Source organism: Homo sapiens, chromosome 4 (assembly GCF_000001405.40).
Source record: "Homo sapiens chromosome 4, GRCh38.p14 Primary Assembly".
Taxonomy (NCBI): domain Eukaryota; kingdom Metazoa; phylum Chordata; class Mammalia; order Primates; family Hominidae; genus Homo; species Homo sapiens.
The window spans coordinates 182,967,910-182,988,802 of NC_000004.12; the positions used below are offsets into that span (position 1 = coordinate 182,967,910).

Here is a 20,893-nt window from a genome sequence, read left to right on the forward strand (position 1 = left end):
CTGATACATGCTACAACATAGATGACCTTGAAAACATTATGCTAAATAAAAGAAGCCAGTCATAAAAGACCACATATTGTATGATTCCATTCATATAAAATGTCTAGCATATGAATGTCTCTAGAGACTGAAAGTAATTCGTGGCTACCTAGGGCTAGAGGGGGCTGTAAGGATTGAGAGGTGATAGTTAAAGGGTATAAAGTTTATTTTGGAGGTGATGAAAATGTTCTACAATTCATTGTCTTGATGATTCATGATTCTGTAAACATGCAAAAAAAGTAAATAATTTAAATGAATGAAAATGTATAATTTAAAATGTAGAATTTAAATGAATGTGAAACGTATAATTTAAATGGGTGAATTGTATCTTATATAGCTGTTGCCAAAAAATTTATTGCAGACATCATGACATTTTTAGTCTAAAAATACTTTAGAATGTATCTCCTAAGAATTGGCACTAAGAAGTTCTCTAAAGAAATAAGTGTTTATTTTCTCTGATCCAGAGGGCTAGTGTTTCTGCTTGCGTGGGTGTCTTGTGTATGTGTGTGTCTGTGTGACTGTACAAGGAGGGTGACATCTCAGGCCCTTCACTGTTTCAGAGCCAGCAGTACATGAAACCCTTCTGAACACTTACCTAAGATGTAGTCCAGACTTTCTCAAAAGACTGTCCAAGTGATGATGGCATTTTTCAGCCCTCCTCAGTAAATGACTCCATTTATTTGGGTGTGCCCAAATGACACCACTCTTGGAAAAGAAATGAGATAAAAAATAACGAGTAGGTCAGGCATGGTGGTTCATGCTTGTAATCTCAGCTCTTTGGGAGGTCGAGGTGGGAGGATCACTTGAGCCCAGGAGTTTGAGACCAGCCTGGCCAACATGGTGAAACCCTGTCTCTACAAAAAAATAAAAATTAGCCAGGCATGATGGCACATGCCTGTGGTCCCAGCTACTCAGGAGGCTGAGGTGGGAGGATCACTTGAGTCTGGGAGGTCAATGCTGCAGTGAGCTGAGATCATGCCATTGCATTCCAGCCTGGGCAACAGAGCAAGACCCTATCTTAAAATAATAATAATAATAATATTAATAATGTGTAAAATTTTCTCCTCACTTGCTGTATTAGTCCATTTTCACACTGCTGATAAAGACATACCCGAGACTGGGAAGAAAAAGAGGTTTAATTGGACTCACAGTTCCACGTGGCTGGGGAGACCTCAGAATCATGGCTGAAGGTGAAAGGCATGTCTCACATGGCAGCAGATAAGAGAAGAGAGCTTGTGCAAGGAGACTCTTGTTTTTAAAACCATCAGATCTCATGAGACTTATTCACTATCATGAGAACGGCAATGGGAAGACCTGCCTCCATGATTTAATTACCTCCCACCGGGTCCCTCCCACGACACAGGGGAATTTAAGATGAGATTCGGATGGGGACACAGCCAAACCATATCACTTGCCTAAGAGAAAATCTCTAACCGTAGACTTGTCTTTCTATCATTCCTGTCAGCCTGAGTTGCTGAATGACATGTGGAGGAGAGTCACCTGCCAACCCAGAAAACAAGCTCTGAACTCAGACTCGAATGCAAATTAGACGGCTCTCTTGTTGGCCTCACCACATTTTTGTGTCCTGCACTATAGCAGGAAGTGCAATCCTAACGGAGTCGTCTTTAGACTCACAAAGGAAGAGAGCTGCTCTTCTGTGTTCTCCCCACATTCCCTCCTCCAGTGCATCTTCAGAGAGATAAATCCCTCCTCTGAAGCTATGGCTCCTGATATTCATCAGTTTGCAGGAATATTTACCTCAGAAGCCAGGAGGATTTGCAGCTGCTACCTGACAAGGAAAAGGACCTCGTGGCTGGCACCCAGCCATGCTCCTCCACTTAATCTTCGACTCTCCTGCCACACCCGCCTTCTAGGGGATGGCTCCTTCCTCATCTTGGCAAGCCTATGTCTGGTCTCCCATAGAAGTGGGTGCTGGGCACTGCCACTCTTACTGTGACAACAGGCTAAAATCAGTTTCCCAAGCAAATATACCACGAGTAAATATTGATTCTAGACCTCAGTATTTCTTCTTTGACCGTTATATTTATTTAATCCTGCATGTCCGCAAGCAGATTTCGCCCATGTGCACAGGCTAACTGAGCTAATTCCCGTGGTACCAGGAGGGCTTCTTGACAAGTCTTCATTGACAAGGAGACCTCAGGCTCCTTCTTCTATCACAAAAAAGGGGAAGTGGTTCAATGTGGTGGCGCAGATATGTAATCCCAGCACTCTGGGAGGCTGACACAGGAGAATTGCTTGAGCCCAGGGGTTTGAGACTAGTCTGGGCAAAATAACCAGCTCCCATCTCTCTAAATAATAAAATTTTTAAAAATTAGCCAGGCAGGCTGGGCGCAGCAGCTCACGCCTGTAATCCCAGCACTTTGGGAGGCTGAGGTGGGTGGATCACGAGGTCAGGAGATCGAGACCATCCTGTGAATGGTGAAACCCCGTCTCTACTAAAAATACAAAAAATTAGCCGGGCGTGGTAGCGGGCGCCTGTAGTCCCAGCTACTCGGGAGGCTGAGGCAGGAGAATGGCGTGAACCCGGGAGGCGGAGCTTGCAGTGAGCCGAGATCGCGCCACAGCACTCCAGCCTGGGCGACAGAGCGAGACTCCGTCTCAAAAAAAAAAAAAACAAAAACAAAAACAAAATTAGCCAGGCATGGTGGCACGTACCTGCAATCCCAGCTGCTCTGGAGGCTGAGGTGGGAGGATCGCTTGAGCCCAAGAGTTTGAGACTGCAGTGAGCCATGGTTGTGCCACTGCACTCTAGCCTGGGGACAGAGCGAGACTTTGTCTCCCCCTGAAGGAAGGAAGGAAGGAGGAAGGAGGAAGGAAGGCAGGAAGGCAGGAAGGAAGGAAGGAAGGAAGGAAAGAAGGAAGAAAGGAAGGAAGGAGTGGGGATGTAGGGAGGAAGGAAGGGAAGGGAGAGAAGGAAGGAAGGAAAAAGGGAAGGAAAAAGGAAAGGAGGGAGGGAAAAAAGGAAGGAAAAAGGGAAGGAAAAAAGGAAGGGAGGGAGGGAGGGAATAAAGGAAGGAAGGAGGGAGGGAGGGAAGGAAAGAAAAGAAAGAAAGAGAGAGAAAGAAAGAGAGAAAGGAAGGAAGGGAGGGAGGGAGGGAATAAAGGAAGGAAGGAGGGAGGGAGGGAAGGAAAGAAAAGAAAGAAAGAGAGAGAAAGAAAGAGAGAAAGGAAGGAAGGGAGGGAGGGAGGGAGGGAGGGAAAGAGAGAAAGAGAGAGAAAAAGAGAGAAAGAAGTGGAAGTACCTTCACTTTTCAAACTAGCATTTGGCTTAGGCTTAGACGCATTTTGAAACACTATAGGATTTTCATGGAAGACTATTTTTAAACTATCTGAGCGTCGGCAAGAAGGATGGGTGCTTTTGAATATGTATTCTTATTACTAGAAAGTTTCCAGGATTGCTGAAATTACATTACAGTCTTAAAATCCTTTTTATTTGTTTATGGACAAAAATGGCTTAGATAGTCAGAATCCAACATAAAGCCACATGCAACTATATTTCCTAATATTAATATTCTGTGGAATAAGGTGACATTAGAAAGAGATTAGTTCCTGCTATGTAATACATGTTTTTACATAAACGAATGTCTGATCCTAGAGTTTCACGGCAGAACTTTAGGGGTGCAAATCAGAAAAGCACAGCATAGATTCATCTTGCCTCTTCCTGTGTGCCCTAAACAAACTGTAACCTTGAATCATGATTTCATTATCATAGACAGTAGAATTCCATCAAATATCTGTAGCACCAACTATGTCAAAGTTATGAAGGTAAAACCGAATTCTCAGTTTACATGTTTCACGCAATAATCTACAAATACATTTCTTCAATCTCCAAAAACTTATAAATATTTAATGCCACAGAGGCTTTTCAAATGCTCAGGTGAGAATAAGGCATGTTTGCTTTTTAGACTAAACTTTAGACTGAAACTCATAAATCACAAGGACTGTCAGTGAAGACCACATAGTCATCTTTCCTTTAGTCTAAACAAAAAGCCCTGGGAATGGGCCTCAGAAGAAAAATCTTTGAAGATGTGTAGAGAAGCCCCAAAATATATTTCTGTGCATCTCTATAATTCGTGTTATATCTACCTACAGCTATTGCATAAGTTGTATATTATATATCACACTAGAGGCTTTTTAAGAGGTGATATTTCTCCTGCATATAAGTGTAAAACAAGCCATTTTCTGCAGTCAATAAGTTACTAGCTTCTGAGACCCATAAGAGAAATTCTGAATTGACAATTTTCCTCCAGAAAAGGTAGGAAAGAAGAACCCTGGCAAGTAATAATTTAATAATTTTTCTTCTTTATAACACTCAATACATCCAGTTTTTTTCTCTAACCAAGATCTATAAATACAATAAAAGTAAATGCTATTTCATCACAGAACATATTTTATATATATTCTGGCTAAAGATCAAATGCAATCTAATTTTCACAATAAGTGGAGAATAATTGGCAAAGTCATGTGTCTTATCATTTTATTGGGTTTTATGTTAAAGACAGAAAAAAATTGTAAAGGAAACAATTTTTATGAAGTCTATCAACACTAAAAAACGTGCTTGTAAAACCTGGATCTGGTCTGAAATAGAATATGTGAAAGGCAAGTTCATGAAAATGCATGAATTATAAAAATGTTTTTCATTGCTGGTAGGTAGTCCCACCAGAAACCCATTATTAAATTAATAATTAACCCGGAAAAGAGAAAACTGAAAACAAATAAAGTAAATATGTAGCACTTACCGACCAATACCAGACAAGCTGAGTCTGAACAATTTTCTAGCTGATTCTGCTCCCAGCTTTTCCACTTGGAACATAGCAATCTTAAGCGGGATGCTCAGGCAGGAGCTTCTCAGGCAAGGGGTCTTTATCCTACAGGAGCTCTGTACCATGGCACCTAATGAGGTTTACGAAAAGAGTTGATAAGACAACCTACCCTGACTTTGTAGTGAGAACTTGGAGCCTGGGCTTGGTGTTTCATGCTTATAATCTCAGCACTTTGGGAGGCTGAGGCAGGAGGATCGGTTGAGCCCAGGAGTTCAGGGCTGCAGTGAAGTATGATCGTGCCACTGCACTCCAGCCTGAGCAACAGAGCAAGGCACCGTCTTAAAAAAGGAAGATTGTGGCTGGGCACAGTGGCTCTTGCCTGTAATCCCAGCACCTTTGGAGGCCGAGGCCGCCGGATCAAGAGGTCAGGAGATCGAGACCATCCTGGCTAACACAGTGAAACCCCGTCTCTACTAAAAATACAAAAAATTAGCCAGGCATGGTGGTGCGCGCCTGTAGTCCCAGCTGCTCAGGAGGCTGAGGTAGTAGAATCTCTTGAACCCGGGAGGCGGAGGTTGCAGTGAGCCGAGATCACGCCACTGCTCTCCAGCCTGGGTGACAGAGCAAGACTCTGTCTTAAAAAAAAAAAAAACCAGATTGTACATTTATTATTAATTTGAGCATCAATATGTACAACTTTGAGGAGGCTCTGTCAGTCCTATCATCAACTTCTAGTTCCTCCATACTGAAAATCCTGGAATGGGTTTTCTGTTTATTTGGCTTGGCAACTCAGTCTCTGTCTGTCTCTCTCTCTGTCTCTCTCTCTCTCTCTCTCTCTTTCCTTCCCTTACTTCCTCCCTCCCTGCCAAATCTTTCATTCTGCCAATGATCACTTTGAAATAATCAGCTTTACTCTGCAAGCTACAATGATAGGAAGGCGGTTGAAATCCCGTTGTGGGAGTTTAGTCATCTCAGATTCAGGATCTGAGTTGAAAATAGAATTTCTGTTATTGCTCCTGGCTCATTTAAGCACTACTCAGAAAATATTTGCTGAGCTAGGCACTCTGTTCTAGTCACTCAGGATATAGCAGTGAACAAAAAAGTCCTTGCTCACACAGAACTTGTATTCTAGCTGGGAGAGACAAGAGAGTAAACAAATACGTAATATCCTGGGTGGTTGGAAACGCTATGAAGAAAAATAAAGCAGGGGAGGGAATAGAACATCAAGTGCAGGGGCTGAGGTGGTTTACAATGGACTGGTCAGAGAAGGCTCTATGATGCGTTGACGTCCGAGCAGAGAGCTGAAGAAGAGCAGGTGAGTCAGGCAGATTCAGGCAGAGACCCAAGCACTGGGGAGAGCAAGTGCAAAGGTTCGAAGGCAGGCATGTGCTAGGGTGTTCAAGGAACAAGAAGGAAATCAAAATGGCCGACGCAGCGTGAATCCGGGGAAGGAGGGGGCAATGAAGACGGCAATGAATGAAGAAGGGAACCTGGAGCCAAGTAATGGCGGGACTTAGACAAGGGCAGGCATTTAGGGCTTTACTCTGAGAGAGGTGGGAAACCAGCTGAGAATCTTCAACAAAGGAGCGGCACAATCTGACTTCTGTTTTCAGAAGATTACCCTGGAAGGTATGTGAAAAAATAGATTGGAGAATTACGAGGATAGAATCAGAGAGATGAATTAAAAGGCATTGTAACGCTGCCATTTTTAACCATATTGGAGTAAATAGTGCTGGCCTTGCCCTCCTACCGTCAACAATTGGAAAACTGAACAACGGTATGAAACGCTTCATATCAAATTCAAATTTTCTATCAGACTTAGACACTGGACAAGCGATCTCACAGGACTTTGATATGTGATAAAAGGGGGGAAAACAGGGTAAGTCCCACCTCAGCTGTCTGCCTGGAGGTATTTTTTGGACTGTGCTGCAGGGAGAGAGAATCCAAGCAATACATGGGGATTTCATTAAGTGAGACAAGGGGGCCTCAAGTAGCAGGAATTTGCCAGGCAGAATACTGAGGGGTAGGATCTGTACAGATAAAGAGATATAGAAATCAACAGAGGGATTCCCTTGAGCCTATTGCTGAATATTAATATGTCCATGGATGGGTCTGGCAAGGGTCTCCTGGGAAGCTGTAAGCCAAACAATTCTCAGAGCTCACTTTGGGCTGGGAGATAATGAAAACATGCCAGCCAGGCACAGTGGCTTATACCTATAATCCCAGCACTTTTGGAGGCCAAGGTTTGCGGATCACTTGAGCCCAGGAGTTCAAGACCAGTCTGGGCAACATGGTAAAACCCCATCTCTACTAAAAATATAAAACTTAGCCAGGTGCGGTGGCATGCGCGCGTAGTCCCAGCTACTTGGGAGGCTAAGCAGGGAGGATTGCTTGAGCCCTGAGGCAAAGGTTGCAGTGAGCCAAGATTGCATTCCACCACTGCACCCCAGCCTGGGCAACACAGCAAGATTGTCTCAAAAAAACACAAAAAACAAAAAACAAACAAACAAAACCCCATGCCAACCAGTGTGGAAAAACCTCACTAACGTCTAGGGCATTATTAAGATGATGCTTTAGATCTGGAGCTAAACTAGGCCTAGAGCAAGGACTATTGTTGATCTACCCCAGCAAAAGCCTGAGACAAGCCCCAAAAGGTGAAGTGGAACTGTGAGTTTCTTAACTACCTGCCAAAATAAATGTCAACACATTTTAAAGAAATTTAGCAAAACCAAGACATGAACAACATACTATTCAAAATTTTCAGCATCCAAGAAAAAATTGCTAGACATGCAAGAGCAGAAAACAGTGGCTGAAAACCAGGAGAAAAATCAGTCAATAAGAAGCTAAAAATATAGTGGCCCCCTCTTCTCCACAAGGGATACATTTTATGACCCCCCCCACCTTCCGCGGTGGATGCCTGAAACCATGGACAATACCAAACCCTATGCATACTATGTTTTTACCTATACATATAAACCTATGAGAAAGTTTAATTTATAAATTAGGCACAGTCAGAGATTAACAGCAATAACTAATAATAAAATAGAACAATTATAGTAACGTACTGTCATACAAGTTATGTGAATGTGGTCTCTCTCTCTCTTTCTCAAAATATGTCATTTTACTACACTCATCCATCTTCCTGTGATCTGCCAATCTGATAACTGAGACAGCTACCAAGTGACTAACAGGCAGGCAGCATATAAAGCTGAGATATACTGAATAAAGGGATGATTCACATCCTGGGCAGGACAGAGCAGGACAGTGGGAGTTTCCATCATGCTACTCAGAATGGCACACAATTTAAAACACATGAATTGTTTACTTCTGGAATTTCCCCTTTAATATTTTTAGACCACAGTTGACCACGGGTAACTGAAACTGTGGAAAATAAAACTGGATGGCGGCGGGGGGAACCACTGTAGAAGGCAAATTAAATGAAAGTAAGTAGAGGAAAGGGAATAATAAAGATAAGAGTATAAATTGATGAAATAGAAATTGACATCCAATAGAGAAAATTAATAAATCCCAAAGCTAGTTCTTTGAAAATATCAGCAAAGTTGATAAACCTATAGTTAAATTGCCAAAAATAAAAATGGAAAAGGACAGAAAACTGTTTGGGCCAAATTGTGTCCTCCCAAAATCCAGATGTGAAAGCCCTCATCCCCAGTGCCATTGTATTTGGAGATAGAGCCTTTAAGGAAATAATTAAATTAGGTCATAAGATTGAGGCCCTAAGCAAAAATTAGCCAGGCATGGTGATGCATGCCTGTAATCCCAGCTACTCAGGAGGCTGAGGCAGGAGAATCTCTTGAACCCAAAGGCGGAGGTTGCAGTGAGCCGAGATCGCACCATAGCACTCCAGCCTGGGTGACAGAGCCAGACACTGTCTCAAAAAAAAAAAAAAAAAAAAAAAAAAAAAAAAAAAAAAAAAAGATTGAGGCCCTAAACCATTAGCACTAGTGGCCTTACAAGAAGAGGAAGAGACGCCAGAGCTCTCTCTCTTTCTCCACACATGCATAGAAGAAAGGCCCTAGAAGGACACAGGAGAAGGCAGCACTCTGCAAGCCAAGAGAGCCCTCCCCAGAAACCAAATTTTCTGGCACCTTGATCTTGAACTTCTAGTCGCCAGAACTGTGAGAAAATAAATTTCTGTTATTTAAACCATCCAGTCTGTGGTGTTCTGTTATGGCAGCCCAAGCTGTTAATAATAATAATGATAATACATATTTCAGTACCAAGAAACGGAGTGCCACTGTAACAAACACCTAAAAATGTGGAAGTGACTTTGGAAATGGATAATGGGTAGAGGCTAAATGAACTTTGAGGTGCATGCTAGAAAAAGCCTAATTTGCCATGAAAAGACTTTAGTAGAAATACGGATGTTATAGTCTGGTGAGAGCTCAAGAAGAAGAGAGGATAGCTGTAGAGAAAGTGAAAGCTTTTATCATCTTAGAGAATATATATCATCATGAATAGAACGTTAATAGAAATAAGACATTAAATATGCCCCGGGTCAGAAAGAGATCATCATGGCGGATGGCAGGCAGGACCAGATTGCAGCTCCAACTCGGACAGACAGCAGCGTGCGGAGCCTCGCATCATCAATTCCAGCTCCAGAACCACTGCAGAACAACCCAGCAATCCTGAGAGGACCCACAGATCCTCTGAAGGAAGCAGGCTGCTCCTGCAGGACCGGGAGACACCCCAAATACTGTGAGTGCCCAAACTGCGAAAGTGAGAAAGGGAGACCCTCCACCCCAAACACACACCCCCACTGGGGAAACGAAGGTCTAGTTTGCAGGAGAAGTTTCTGACCTTACCTGGAGCTGAGTCAATTCAGAGCTGAGCAAAATACAGGGGTAGAGGAAGCAACGGGAAAGGCCCTGGGAGCTCGCTGGGTCCCCAAGCAGGACATTGCTGCCTGGCGCCACAGGGATCCTTCGGGATGGCGGCCAGAGGCGCGGGGGAAAATGTCACAGGGAGAAGGAAGTCTCCAGCTGAACTTAGTAACAATTTTTTTTTTTTTTTTTTTTTTCGGACGGAGTCCCACTCTGTCGCCCAGGCTGGAGTGCGGTGGTGCGATCTCTGCTCACTGCAAGCTCCGCCTCCCGGGTTCACACCATTCTCCTGCCTCAGCCTCCGGAATAGCTGGGACTACAGGCGCCCGCCACTACGCCCGGCTAATTTTTTGTATTTTTAGTAGAGACAGGGTTTCACCGTGTTAGCCAGGATGGTCTCGATCTCCTGACCTTGTGATCTGCCCACCTCGGCCTCCCAAAGTGCTGGGATTACAAGCGTGAGCCACCGCGCCTGGCCACTTTGTAACAATTTGAACTGGATGAGAAGCCCCCTGGCCAGAACTCGGGGGAGGGTGCAAATCCGATGTGCAGACTCCACAAGCAGGGGAAGAACCAAAGCCCTTTTCTTTCACAGCTGGGAGGCAGGTAACCTGGGGCAAGTTCTCAAGCCCTGCTCGCCCACTACCTGGAAACAGACTCGGGGCTGTTAGGGGGCCATAGTGGAAGTGAGACTGACCCTTTGGATTGCGTGGGAGCTGGGTGAGGCCTGTGACTGCCAGCTGTCCTCCACTTCCCTAACATCCTGCATGACTCAGTAGAGGCAGCCATAATCCTCCTAGGTACACAACTCCATTGACCTGGGATCACCTGGGAACCTCACCGCCAACCCCCACAGCAGCTGCAGCAAGACCCACCCAGTGAGAGTCTGAGCTCAGACCCACCTAGCCCTGGCCCCACCTGATGGGCCTTCCCTACCCACCCTGGTAGCTGAAGACAAAGGGCATACACTGGGCATATACTCTTGGGAGTTCTAGGGCCCCGCCCACCACCGGCTTCTCACCATACTACCACAGCTGATGCTCTCTGGAAAGCCCCACCTCCCGGCAGGAGGCCAACCAGCACAAAAATAGAGCATTAAACCACCAAAGCTAAGAACCCTCACACAGTCCATTTCACCCTCCTACAACCTCCACCAGAACAGCTGCCGGTATTCACAGCTGAGAGACTCATAGATTATTCACATCACAGGACTCTCTTGCTGGGGGGCTAGACCCAGAAGAGAGATAACAATCACTACAGCTTGGCTCACAGGAAGCCACATCCATAGGAAAAGCCAGGGAGTACTACATCAAGGAAAATCCCTGTGGGACAAAAGAATCTGAACAACAGCCTTCAGCCCTAGACCTTCCCTCTGACAGAGCCTACCCAAATGAGAAGGAACCAGAAGACCAACTCTGGTAATATGACAAAACAAGGCTCTTTAATACCCCCGAAAAAATCACACTAGTTCACCAGCAATGGATCCAAACCAAGAAGAAATCCCTGATTTACCTGAAAAAGAATTCAGTAGGTTAGTTATTCAGCTAATCAGGGAGGCACCAGAGAAAGGCAAAGCAAGAAAATCCAAAAAATGATGCAATAAGTGAAGAGAGAAATATTCAAGGAAATAGATAGCATAAAGAAAAAACAATAAAAACTTCAGGAAACATTGGGCACACTTATAGAAATGCAAAATGCTCTGGAAAGTCTCAGCAATAGAATTGAACAAGTAGAAGAAAGAAATTCAGAGCTTGAAGACAAGGTCTTCGAATTAACCCAATCCAACAAAGACAAAGAAAAAAGAATAGGAAAATATGAACAAATCCTCCAAGAAGTCTGGAATTATAGTAAACAACCAAACCTAAGAATAATTGGTGTTCCTGAGGAAGAAGAGAAATCTAAAAGTTTGGAAAACATATTTGGGGGAATAATTGAGTGAAACTTTCCTGGTCTTACTAGAGACCTAGACGTCCAAATACAAGAAGCACAAAGAACACCTGGGAAATTCATTGCAAAAAGATCATCGCCTAGGCACATTGTCATCAGGATATCTAAAGTTAAGATGAAGGAAAGAATCTTTAGAGCTGTGAGACAAAAGCACCAGGTAACCTATAAAGGAAACCTTTCAGATTAACGCAGACTTCTCAGCAGAAACCCTACAAGCTAGAAATCTTTGGGCCCTATCTTCAGCCTCCTCAAACAAAACAATTATCACTCAAGAATTTTGGATCCAGTGAAATTAAGCATCATATATGAAGGAAAGATAGTCTTTTTCGGACAAACAAATGCTGAGAGAATTCACCACTACCAAGCCACCACTATACGAATTGCTAAAAGGAGCTCTAAATCTTGAAACAAATCCTGGAAACACATCAAAACAGAACCTCTTTAAAGCATAAACCACACAGAACCTATAAAACAAAAATACAATTTAAAAAGCAAAAATGAAAAACCAAAAAACCAAGGTACACAGGCAACAAACTGCATGATGAATCAAATGATACCTTACATCTCAATACTAACATTGAATATAAATGGCCTAAATGTTCCACTTAAAAGATACAGAACCAGCTGGGCACAGTGGCTTGTACCTGTAATCCTAGCACTTTGGGAGGACAAGGCAGGTGGATCACCTGAAGTCAGGAGTTTGAGATCAGCCAGGCCAACATGGCAAAACCCTGTTTTTACTAAAAATACAAGAATTAGCCAGGCATGGTGGCACATGCCTGTAATTCCAGCTACTCAGGAGGCTGAGGCAGGAGAATCGCTTGAACCAAGGAGGCAAAGGTTACAGTGAGCTGAAATCATGCCACTGCATTCCATCCTGGGTGACAGAACAAGACTCCATCTCAAAAAAAAAAAAAAAAAAAGATACACAACTGCAGAATGGATAAGAACTCACCAACCAACTATCTGCTGCCTTCAGGAGACTCACCTAACACATAAGGACTCACATAAACTTAAAGTAAAGGGGTGGAAAAAGGCATTTCATGCAAATGGACACCAAAAGTGAGCAGGGTTAGCTATGCTTATATCAGACAAAACAAACTTTAAAGCAACAGCAGTTAAAAGAGACGAAGAGGGACATTATATAATGGTAAAAGGCCTTGTCCAACAGGAAAATATCACAATCCTAAACATATATGCACCTAACACTGACACTCCCAAATTTATAGAACAATTACTAATAGACCTAAGAAATGAGATAGACAGCAACACAATAATAGTGGGGGACTTCAATACGTCACTGACAGCAGTAGACAGGTCATCAAGACAGAAAGTCAACAAAGAAACAATGGATTTAAATTATACCTTGGAACAAATGGACTTAACAGATACATACAGAACATTTCATCCAATAACCGCAAGATATGCATTCTATTCAACAGCACATGGAACTTTCTCCAAGACAGACCATATGATAGGCCACAAAATGAGCCTAAATAAATTTAAGAAAATTGAAATTATATCAAACACTCTCTCAGACCACAGTGGAATAAAACTGGAAATCAACTCCAAAAGGAACCTACAAAACCATGCAAATACATGGAAATTTAAAAACCTGCTCCTGAATGAACATTGGGTCAAAAACAAAATCAATATGGAAATTTAAAAAATTCTTCAAACTGAACAACAATAATGATACTAGCTATCAAAATCTCTGGGATACAGCAAAGGCAGTGCTAAGAGGAGCGTTCATAGTCCTAAATGCCTACATCGAAAAGACTGAAAGAGCAGAAACTGATACTCTAAGGTCACACCTCAAGGAACTAGAGAAACAAAAACAAACCAAACCCAAACTTAGCAGAAGAAAGAAAATAACCAAGATCAGAGCAGAACTTAATGAAATTGAAACAACAACAACAACAACAAAAATATAAAAAGATAAATGAAACAAGAAGCTGGTTCTTTGAAAAGATAAATCAAATTGATAGACTATTAGCAAGATTAACCAAGAAAAGAAGGGAGAAAATCCAAATAACCTCATTGAGAAATGAAATAGGAGATTTTACAACTGATACCACTGAAATACAAAAGATCATTCAAGGCTACTGTGAACGCCTTTATGCACATAAACTAGAAAACCTAGAAGAGATGGATGAATTCCTGGAAAAATACAACCCTCCCAGCTTAAATCATGAAGAATTAGATACCCTAAACAGAACAATAACAAGCAGTGAGATTGAAATGGTAATCAAAAAATTACCAACAAGAAAAAGTTCAGAACCAGATGGATTCACAGCAGAATTCTACTGGACATTCAAAGAAGAATTGGTACCAATCCTTTTGACACCATTCCACAAGGTAGAGAAACCCTCCCTAATTCATTCTATGAAACCAGCATCACCCTAATACCAAAACCAGGAAAGGACATAATCAAAAAAGAAAACTACAGACCAATACCCCTGATGAACACAGATGTTAAAATCCTTAACAAAATAGTAACTGATCAAATCCAACAACATATCGAAAAGATAATCCACCATGATCAAGTGGGTTTCCTACCAAGGAGGCAGGGATGGTTTAACATATGCAAGTCAATAAATTTTTGATACACCACATAAACAGAATTAAAAACAAAAATCACATGATCATCCCTTTATGATTAAAACTCTCAGCAAAATCGGCATACAAGGGACATACCTCAGTATAATAAAAGCCATCTATGACAAACCCACAGCCAACATAATACTGAATGGGGAAAAGTTGAAAGCATTCCCTCTGAGAAGTGGAACAAGACAAGGATGCTCACTCTTACCACTCCTCTTCAATGTAGTACTGAAAGTCCTAACCAGAGCAATCAGACAAGAGAAAGAAATAAAGGGCATGCAAATCAGTAAAGGGGAAGTCAAACTGTCACTGTTAGCTGATGATATGATCATTTACCTTGAAAACCCTAAAGACTCCTCCAGAAAGCTCCTAGAACTGATAAAAGAATTCAGCAAAGTTTCTGGATAAAGATTAATGTACAGAAATCAGTAGCTCTTCTACACACCAACAGTGACCAAGTGGAGAATCAAATCACAAACTCAACCCCTTTTACAATAGCTGCAAAAAAATAAAATACTTAGGAATATACCTAACCAAGGAGTCAAAAGACCTCTACAAGGAAAACTACAAAACACTGCTGAAAGAAATCATAGATAACACAAACAAAAGGAAACACGTCCCATGCTCATGGATGGGCAAGAATCAATATTGTGAAAATGACCATACTGCCAAAAGCAATCTACAAATTCAATGCAATCCCCATCAAAATATCATCATCATTCTTCACAGAATTATAAAGAACAATTCTAAAATTCATATGGAACTGAAAAAGACCCCACATAGCCAAAGCAAGACTAAGCAAAAAGAACAAATCTGGAAGCATCACACTACCTGATTTCAAACTATACTATAAGGCCGTAGTCACCAAAACAGCATGGTACTGGTATAAAAATAGGCACACAGACCAACGGAACAGAATAGAGAACCCAGAAATAAACCCAAATACTTACAGCCAACTAATCTTCAACAAAGCAAACAAAAATATAAAGTGGAGAAAGGACATCCTTTTCAATAAATGGTGCTGGGATAATTGGCTAGCCACCTATCACACTACTGCACTCCAGCCTGGGCGACAGATTAGAGATCTTGATAAATAGAGAGATGTACCTTGTTCATGTATTTTGTAATGTTAAGGTATTAATTCTCCCCAAATGGATCTACAGAATAAGCACAATCCCAGTCAAAATCCCAGAAGACTCTTTTTTTTGTATAAATTGCCAAGCTGGTTCTAAAATACAGAAATGAAAAGACCTAGAAGAATTAAAACTATTTTGAAAAAAAAAAGAACAAATTTGGAGGACTTACTCTATGTGCTCTCAAGGTTTACTATAAAGCTACAGTAATTAAGACAGTGTAGTTTCCATATAAGGATAGACATGTATCAATATATAGACACAGAGTCCAAAAATAAGCCCACATGTAAAAAAGATCAGCTAATCTTTGACAAAAGTGCCAAGGTAATCAAATGGGAGAAAAGATAATCTTTTAACAAATGATATTGGAACAACTAGTTATCTATATGGAAAACAAAATAAACCTTAAACCTTACTTCACACAATAGAGAAAAACTAGCCTTAAATAAATCATATATCTAATTGTAAAAGCTAAAATTATAAATTTTCCAGGAGAAAGCCTTCATAATCTTGGGAAAGGCAAAGCTTTTATAGACAGAACACGGAATGCACTTAACACAAAAGAAAAGTTGATAAGTTGGACTTTATGAACAAACATTTCCATACTTCAAAAGACACAATTAAATATAAGCTCTAGTAAATACAAAAAATATAAAAAGAACTAAAAAACACAGTTAAGAAAATGAAAAGACAACTACAGACTGGGAGAAATATTCACAAGACATATATCTGACCAAGAATTGTATACAAAATATATGAAGACATCAACAATCCAATAATAAGGTTAAATAATTTTTAAAAGTAGACAAAAATGTTACACATTCACAAGATAAGATATAGGAATAGCCATAAAGTGCATAAAGAGATACTCAATATCATTAGTCATCAGACAAATGTAGACTAAAGCTTCAATGAAGCACCGTTACATATCCACTAAAATTGCTAAAATTACAAATATGACCACACCAAGTGTTGGTGAGAATGCAGAGCACTGAACATTGCTGGTAGAAATGTTAGATCATACAATCGATTATTTTGGAAAAGAACTCTGCAGAACTTTTAGAGATAAAATACAATCACTGAAACTAGAAACTCAATGGAAAGTTAAACAGAAGATAATACATGTCTGAAAAGAAAATTAGTTATCCGGAAGATAGATTTAAAGAAATAACCAGAATATAGCACAAAGAGATCAATAGCTAAAAAATATGAAAAATGCATGAAGAGACAGAGGTTAGTGTGAGAAAGTACAACTCAGCTGCCTAGACCTCCAGAAGGAGAAGATAGAGAGGATAAAGGTGATATCAAATAGCTGAATTTCCCAGAAATTGTTGAATATATATATCAATCTCATATACAACCAACCCAACTGATAACAAGGAGGATAAATTAAAACAATGCACACCTAGGAAGATCCAAACTGCAGAACACCAAAGAAAAAGAGAAGACTATATAATAAAAGCAATCAGAGAGAAAAGATGAATTACTTAGTTAGGAATGGCAATTATACTGATGAATTCTCAGCATCAACAAGGTAACTCAAAAGACAGTGGAACCATATTTTTGACGTGCTGAGATAAAATATCTGTCAACCTACAATTATGTTCTTGGTAAAACAATCTTTCAAGAGAAGGGGTAAAATAAAGACCTTTTCAGGCAAACAAAAGCTGAACTTGACTTTAGGAGAATCACATGAAAGAAAATTTCAAGGACAAGAATAAGTTAAATTATTACAAAAGGAAGGTCTGAGATTCAAGGAACGGTGAGCAAAGATACTGGCAAATATCAGGTAAATATAAACAAATACTGAGAATAAAACAATAAGAATGTTTATAGGGTAAAAGAAAAGTAAAAATACTAGACAGAAATAGTGTAGAATTTGGAAGGGGTGATCAGGATTATAGCCTTATAAGAACTTGTATCTTTTTATTAGAAGGTAAAGTTAGTAATTAATTTTAGACTGTTAACCATGCATTTTAAGTAACTAAAGTTACTGCTAAAATAATAGACATCACAATATAACTTCTAAACTAATAGAGAAGGAAAAATAAATAATTCATAAAGAAGAAAAGAGGCTAGGCGCGGTGGCTCACACCTATAATCCCAGCACTTTGGGAGGCCGACGCAGGCGGATCACCTGAGGTCAGGAGTTCGAGACCAGACTGGCCAACAGGGTAAAACCCCATCTCTACTAAAAATACAAAAATTAGCTGGGTGTGGTGGTGGGCACCTGTAATCCCAGCTACTCGAGAGGCTGAGGCAAGAGAATCACTTGAATTCAGGAGGCAGAGGCTGCAGTGAGCCAAGATCGTGCCATTGCACAGCCTGGGTGACAGAGCAAGACTCTGTCTAAAAAAAAAAAAGAAGAAGAAAAGGAAAAAAGAAAGCACAACAAATAGAAAATATACAACAAGATGTAATAAATTAATCCAAATATAAATAGATAAAAAAATAGTTAAGTGAAACCTGCCAATTAAAAGACAAATATTATTAAACTGAAAAAAAATATGAAATCAAGATATTTATAAAAGACTTATCTAAAACATAAGGATACAGTAATTAAAAAAAAAAAGGGCTAAGCATAGTGGCTCATGCCGGTAGTCCCAGTGCTTTTAGAGGCTGAAGCGGAAGGATGATTTGAGACCAGGATTTTGAGAATAGCCTGGGCAACATAGTGAGACCCTATCTCTACCACAAAATTAAAAATAAAAAAATTAGCGAGGCATGGTGGTACATACCTGTAGTCCCAGCTGCTCAGGAGGCTGAGGCGAGAAGGTTGCTTGAGCCCAGGAGTTTGAGATTATAGTGAGCTATGACCGTGCCACTGCATTCCAGTCTGGGCAACAAAGCAAGACTCTGTCTATAAAAAAAATGTATTTTAATCAAAAAAGTGAATAAAGATATGCCAGGTAAATGTTAACCAAAACAATTCTGGGTAATATTAGACATATATTATACCTAATGATTAAGATTCTACTCATTAGGAAGATACAACATTTATACAACTAATAATATAGTTTCAAATAACATGAAGTAAAAAATTGACAGCTACAAGAGATATTAACAAATCCACAATCATAGTTGAAGTTTTTCTAACATTTGTTTTAGTAATTGGTAGAGACAGATTTTTTTAAGTCAGTAATAATGTTAAAAATTAGAATAGCACAATAGACAATCAGGATCTATGATTCGCTCTCTCTCTCTCTCTCAGAATATATATTCTTTTCAAGTATACATTTACCCATTTAGAGAAGTGACCACATGCTAGGCTTTAAGAAAACCTCAATAAATTCCAGCAGGTTGGCATTGTTCAGAACGTATTATTTAACCGCTAGACAATTACATTGGAAATCAATAGCAAAAAAGGTAGAAAATCCTCATACCTTTAGAGATACAAAACACACTTCTAAAGAATTTCACAGAAGCGAGAGACTCTAATGGAAACTATAAAATATTTAAAATAGAATAACAAACTAGTACATATTAAAAATATATGAGATATAATGGTATTAAGAGTGAGTTTTATAGCCTCAAATGCTTAAACTGGAAAAGACGTCTCAACTGTGTGACCTAAGCATCCAATTTATGGAGCAAGAAAAAAAACAGCTGAATAATTCCCCCAAAAGTAGAAGAAACAACAAAATAAACATAAAAGCAGAAATGCATAAAATAAAAAACATAGTTCCAAGATAGAGAATCAACAAAGCTAAAAATTTGGCCTTCGACAATACTAATAAAATAGACAACAGCAAGATTAATGAAACAAAAACAGAGAGACATATAAACTAATTAAGAATTAATATGCACATATCTCTAGAGGCTGGAGAGAAAACAGATTATAAGATATGAACAAATTTGGGACAATTCGTTTGAAAACCTAGAGGAGATGAATACATCGTATTATGAGCTGAACTGTGTTCCCTCCAAATCCATATGTTAAAGTCCTAACCACCTGTACCTAAGAATATGCCTGTATTTGGAGATAGTGTCTTTAAAGAGGCCATTAAGTATAAATGAGATCATTAGGGTGGGCCATAATCCAATAGGATTGGTGTCATAAGAGGAGATAAGGACACAGATACACCGAGGAAAGACTGAGTGAAGACACGGGGAGAAGGTGGCCAACTACAAGCCAAAGAGAGGGGCCTTGGGAGAAGCCAACCCTGCTGACACCTTGATCTTGGACTTCCAGCCTCCAGAACTGTGAGGAAACACATTTCTGTTGATTCAGCCATGCAGTCTGTGTCACTTTGTTATGGCAGTCCTAGCAAACTAATACACAAACTTAGAAAAAATCTCAATCATTAGCAAAACTAAATCTGTAATTTAAAAGTGTTGTGCAGCCAGGAGAGGTGGCTCATGCCTGTAATCCTAGCACTTTGGGAGGCTGAGGCAGGCGGATCATGAGGTAAGGAGTTCAAGACCAGTTGGGCCCAACATAGCAAAACCCTGTCTCTAGTAAAAATACAAAAATTAGCCAGGCATGGTGGTGGGCATCTGTAATCCCAGCTACTCAGGAGGCTGAGGCAGGAGAATCGCTTGAACCTGGAAGGCCGAGGTTACAGTGAGCCGAGACCGTGCCACTGCACTCCAGCCTGGACTAGAGAGCAAGATTCTGTCTCGAAAAAAAAAATTAAATAAATAAATAAAGTCTTGTGACACAAAAAAACAACAGATTCAAATGACTAGTTCTAGCTTGACCAAATATCCAAGAAACAGACAATTTCAATTTCTTCCAGGGAATGAAAAAAGAGATTGTGAGGCTAGCCTGACATAGATATAAAAATCTTGAACAAAATATAAGCTGGGCCGGGCGCGGTGGCTCACGCCTGTAATCCCAGCACTTTGGGAGGCTGAGATGGGTGGATCACGAGGTCAGGAGATCGAGACCATCCTGGCTAACACAGTGAAACCCCGTCTCTACTAAAAATACAAAAAAATTATCCAGGCGTGGTGGTGGGCACCTGTAGTCCCAGCCACTCGGGAGGCTGAGGCAGGAGAATGGTGTGAACCCGGGAGGTGGAGCTTGCAGTGAGCCTAGATCACACCACTGCACTCCAGCCTGGGCAACAGAGTGAGACTCAGTCTCAAAAAAAAAAAAAAAAAAAAAAAAAAAAAAATATATATATATATATATATATACACACACACACACACACACACACACACATATGCTAACCAAATGTAGCAATGTCTAAAGATAACACTGTTGATTAACATATTGGGTTGATCCTGGGAATTCAAGATCAATTAATATAACTCACCACTATAATAGATCTTTAAAGGAGAAAATTAAATAATGCAGAAAAGTCATTCGATAACATTCAATGTCCATTCATGATAAAAATTCAGCAAGCTGAGAATAGAAAACAACTTTTTAATAAAAGACATCTTGCTTTTGTCCACTTTGTTAGTCTTGTGAAAGGCCCAGCCTTTGGCTGGGTTGATTCTCTTTATTGGAACTTTGTTTTTTATTCTGTGTGTTTCTGCTTTTATAACTTTTTCTGTAAAAGACATCCTCAAAAAAAAACTCTGAGAAAACATC

The 20,893-nt window shown here is 40.3% G+C and overlaps 1 long non-coding RNA gene across 1 annotated transcript, besides 4 other annotated features; it reads right to left on the bottom strand.

Moving 5' to 3' along the window:
• Positions 1-532: 532 nt before the first annotated feature.
• On the bottom strand, positions 533-18,125 carry LOC107986327 (uncharacterized). The gene is made up of 3 exons (XR_001741935.1): positions 18,087-18,125; positions 4,800-4,953; positions 533-744 (listed from the first exon to the last, which is right to left on the bottom strand). It is a non-coding gene; the product is annotated as an uncharacterized LOC107986327 (long non-coding RNA).
• Positions 1,632-1,691: an enhancer, noted in NCBI's record as "active region_22179". NCBI's record gives its function as "activates an Ori minimal core promoter by ATAC-STARR-seq in GM12878 lymphoblastoid cells {active_cell/tissue: GM12878}" and the evidence as "EXISTENCE:reporter gene assay evidence [ECO:0000049][PMID:35858748]".
• Positions 10,519-10,608: an enhancer, noted in NCBI's record as "active region_22180". NCBI's record gives its function as "activates an Ori minimal core promoter by ATAC-STARR-seq in GM12878 lymphoblastoid cells {active_cell/tissue: GM12878}" and the evidence as "EXISTENCE:reporter gene assay evidence [ECO:0000049][PMID:35858748]".
• Positions 10,839-10,888: an enhancer, noted in NCBI's record as "active region_22181". NCBI's record gives its function as "activates an Ori minimal core promoter by ATAC-STARR-seq in GM12878 lymphoblastoid cells {active_cell/tissue: GM12878}" and the evidence as "EXISTENCE:reporter gene assay evidence [ECO:0000049][PMID:35858748]".
• Positions 11,039-11,088: an enhancer, noted in NCBI's record as "active region_22182". NCBI's record gives its function as "activates an Ori minimal core promoter by ATAC-STARR-seq in GM12878 lymphoblastoid cells {active_cell/tissue: GM12878}" and the evidence as "EXISTENCE:reporter gene assay evidence [ECO:0000049][PMID:35858748]".
• Positions 18,126-20,893: the final 2,768 nt, after the last annotated feature.